At 55.0% G+C, this 4,310-nt stretch overlaps 1 annotated feature.

Annotated features, from left to right (window-relative positions):
• Window positions 3,072-4,047: an enhancer, noted in NCBI's record as "H3K27ac-H3K4me1 hESC enhancer chr19:8094053-8095028 (GRCh37/hg19 assembly coordinates)". NCBI's record gives its function as "activates a minimal SCP1, AML or CMV promoter by ChIP-STARR-seq in naive H9 embryonic stem cells {active_cell/tissue: H9 hESC(naive)}" and the evidence as "EXISTENCE:reporter gene assay evidence [ECO:0000049][PMID:30033119]".

A 4,310-nucleotide genomic window follows, 5' to 3' on the forward strand; every position in this document is an offset into this window, starting at 1 on the left:
GAGGGTTCATAGGCCAGGCGTGGTGGCTCACACCTGTAATCCCAGCACTTTGGGAGGCTGAGGCAGGAGGAGAATTGCTTCAGTCTGGGAGTTCAAGACCAGCCGGGGCAACATAGCAAGATCCTGTCTCTATGGATAAAAAAAAAAAAGGTCGGGCCCAGTGGCTCACACCTGTAATCCCAGCACTTTGGGAGGCTGAGACAGGCAGATCACCTGAGGTTGGGAGTTCAAGCTCAGTAGCTCTCTAAAAATACAGATCACCTGAGGTCAGGAGTTCGAGCTCAGTAGCTCTGTAAAAATACAGTAATTAGCCGGGCATGGTGGTGCACGCCTGTAATCCTGGCTACTGGAGAGGCTGAGGCATGAGAATCACTTGAACCTGGGAGGCGGAGGTTGCAGTGAGCCAATTGCGCCATTGCGCTCCAGCCTGGACAACAGAACGAGACTCCATCTCAAAAAAAAAAAAAAAAAAAAAAAAGAGGGTTCGTAGTCTGAGCTTGTGATTATACCACTGAAAATTACCCCAAGCCACTTGTGGAAGGGCTGCCTGCAGAAGGACGTGTCTTAGGCTCTTTAATAAGTTACCTTCTGGTTGGAAACTACCTAAACGCCCAGCACGCAGGCTGGCCCGGTAAATCACGCACCCATAGGAGTTATGGTCAGGAGGCCTGTGACTCTGTAGAGTGGTAGTGGCTCCCGGGCCCTGGGCCAAGCGCTGTACTGATGCCCTCAAATCCTCATGGTAACAGCCTGTTCAGTTCTGTTCACCCCATTTTACAGCAAGGGGCTGCTCTGGGGGCAGGGAGGAGCCCAGCTGGGTGGGAGATCGTGGGTTCATGGTGGCATCTGTGGGTACTCCATCCAATCAAGGGTCTGAGGCTTAAGAAGCTTAAATTTGGGGGAGATAGGGACATTCTCAATGGTGCAGTTAAAGCAGTGGCTTCAGATTCTGGTGGGAGAGGAAGGAACTGAGGCTGGGGAAAGGGATGTATTGGTCTTTTCTTTGGAAACAGTCTTGCTCTGTCGCCTAGGCTGGGCTGGAGTGTAATGGCACGATCTCGGCTCACTGCAACCTCCGCTTCCCAGGTTCAAGCGATTCTCATGCCTCAGCCTCCTGAGTAGCTGGGATTACAGGCATGTGTCAGCACGCCCAGCTACTTTTTGTATTTTTAGTAGAGACAGGGTTTTGCCATGTTGCCCGGGCTGGTCTTGAACTCTTGGGCAACAGTGATCCGCCCGCCTCAGCCTCCCAAAGTGCTGAGATTACAGGCATGAGCCATCGCCCAGTCTCACTGGTCTTTCATCTTTGTTCCATCCTCATTCCCATTCAGCACCTGATGTACTTCTCTCTTACTGGGGTGCACCCCAGGGGACGCATGACTGTGCTACAGCCCACGGGGTTTCAGCAGGGTGCGCAGAGGACCTCAGGTGGCCCTTGTTACCCACACTCATTCCTTGCCAGGTCTTCCACAGGTCAAGGAGCCAGGATTCTGGGGTTTGGACACCCCATTCTCTGGCGGATGGGGCTGGCCTGGAGCCTGGGTGGGAGTACCGGGTTTCATACATCGGGGGCTCAGGCTTGGGGAGGGGTCACATGGAAGTCACCTGGCTGGCCAGAGCAGTTGCAGCCACAGCAGGTAGAAGGCAGGAGCCAGGACTGGGTGGGCCTGCGTGGGAGGGACGGCCAAACCCTGAAACTAGCCTCCACCCTCCAGGGTACAGGGGCTTCCCTGGACACACACTGGCCTTCCTCGTCCTCCTCTTTATACCATTGCACCCAGGTTTGTTTGTCTGTTTTTAGTGACAGAGGCTTGCTGTGTCACCCAGGATGGAGTGCAGTGGCACATTCTCAGCTCACTGCAACCTCTGCCTCCCAGATTCAAGCAATTCTCCTGCCTCAGTCTCCTGAGTAGCTGGGATTATAGGCATGTGCCACCGCATCCGGCTAATTTTTGATTTTTTTTTTTTTTTTTTTTTTTTTTTTTTTTAGTGGAGACGGGGATTCATTATGTTGGCCAGGCTGGTCTTGAACTCCTGACCTCCAGTGATCCACCTGCCTCGGCCTCCCAAAGTGCTGGGATTACAGACATGAGCCACTGCACCCAGCCCCTGGGGTTTTATTTACCCAGATCCCCACTGCCTTTCCTTCCTGTGGCTGACATCTCCCTACACTGTCCCCCAGAAACACAGCTGTTTTGCCCTCAACCACAGCTCCTGCATCCAGTGCAGGGCCTGGCTCTTGACTGAGACATCAGCAAATGTGAGCCCTGCTCTCCTGGGTCAATGCAGGCTCCTTCAGGAAGGAGGCGGGGATCTGTCCCCCTTGGCATCCCCAGTGCCCAGCATGGGGGGCCTGGCACCCATGAGGCAGCCAAGGCTTTCAGACCAAATGAACAAGCAGTGAGCCCTGCCTTCGAGGGCCCGTCTTGAGGACACCAGGTGGGTTTATGACATCCCAGTGGACATGAGGCCCCCAGGGACCAGTTCCTCTCCGGCATTGGCACCAGGGCCCCTGCCCCACTGGATCAGACCTCCCAAGCTTGGGGTCCCTTTTCCAGTAGGCAAGAGAGGCACCCGACTCCTGCTTCAGCCCAAGGAGAACCTGCCGACTCCAAGGGGTGGCCATTGAGGGGATCAGTGACGTAAGTCCTTCAGAGGCAGCAGGGACAAGGAGCTGTAGGGAAAACAGGGCAGGCCTGGGGTTGGGGGGTGTGGGGTGCTGACAAGGTGCAGACCCACCACCCCAACCAAGCCCCTCCTCCGCAGATCCATCACCTCTGCCCCGTGCCCCATGAATGAACCAGCTCATTCCCCGGCCCAGTGACCAGCACAGGCTCCAGACGTTTCCCTCGGACATTGTCTGCCTGACCACCTCTTCCAGCACAGTGAGGGGCCTGGGATCTGGAGGCCAGAGTGGGCCAGGCCTAGGGGTGGGGGGAAAAACGTCACTATTCTTAGATCCCTCGTCCTCCAGGGCCCAGGCCAGGCGGAGCAGTCACATTCCAGAGGTAGAAACCATCAGCCCACACAAATGCTTGTGTTCCCTGAGGAGGCCAAGGGTCACCAGGAACTAAAATCAGCTTTTCCCAAGAAAGGCGGGAGACAGGGTGGGGGGCGGGGGGCAGGGTTAGAAAGGCCAAAGGTCACCCAATAAACCCTTCCAGCTGCCCCTGGTGGAAAGCCCCTCTGAGTCCGGAGGGATGAGGACAGAGGGATTCTCGCCCTCTAAGCTACTCTGCGGGCTGGCTGATTCTTCCTGGTAGGGGGCGGTCCTGTGCAGTCTAGATTATTTAGCAGCTCTCTGGCAGCCCACCGCCCCCCCAGCCTCCCAGTGGTGACAGCCAAATCTCTCTCCAGGCACGGGCCAGGTGTCCCCTGGGGAAAAATCGACCCCAGATGAGAACTGTACTTTCCCAAACAGAGCTTCCAGGTGGCGTCTGGGGTAGATATTTAGGATCCTGCTGTTCTATGGACTCTGTTCTCTCAGCCTGGAATCCTCTTCCCGCATAGCACAATCCCCCACCAGCCCTGCAATCTTCCAGAACTAAACCCACACATCACCTCCCTCAGGAAGTGTCCTGTGGGCCCCCCATCTTATGATTTTGGCCCCCACGGATGCTGTGGTAGGTAAAATAAAGCCCCTTTGGCCAGATATGGTGGCTTACACCTGTAATCCCAACATTTTGGGACGCCGAGGAGGGAGGATCACTTGAGCCTAGGAGTTAGAGACCAGCCTGGACAACATAGCAAGACACAGTCTCTACAAAAAAAAATAAAAAAATTAGCTGGGGCTGGGCGCGGTGGCTCACGCCTGTAATCCCAGCACTTTGGGAGGCCAAGGCGAGCGGATCACAAGGTCAAGAGATCGAGACCATCCTGGCCAAGATGGTGAAACCCTGTCTCTACTAAAAATACAAAAATTAGCTGGGCGTGTTGGCACGTGCCTGTAATCTCAGCTACTCTGGAGGCTGAGCGAGGAGAATTGCTTGAACCCGGGAGGTGGAAGTTGCAGTGAACCGAGATCGCACCACTGCACTCCAGACTGGCGACAGAGAAAGACTCCGTCTCAAAAAAAAAAAAAAAAAAATTAGCTGGGGCCGGGTGCAGTGGCTCATGCCTATAATCCCAGCACTTTGGGAGGCCGAGGCGGATGGATCCCTTGATGCCAGGAGTTTGAGACCAGCCTGGCAAACAAGGTGAAACCCTGACTCTACTAAAAATACAAAAATTAGCCGGGCGTGGTGACACATGCCAGTAGTCCCAGTTCTACTTGAGAGGCTGAGGCAGGAGAATTGCTTCAACTCAGTGGG

This window comes from Homo sapiens, chromosome 19, assembly GCF_000001405.40.
Source record: "Homo sapiens chromosome 19, GRCh38.p14 Primary Assembly".
In the NCBI taxonomy this organism is placed as follows: Eukaryota; Metazoa; Chordata; class Mammalia; order Primates; family Hominidae; genus Homo; species Homo sapiens.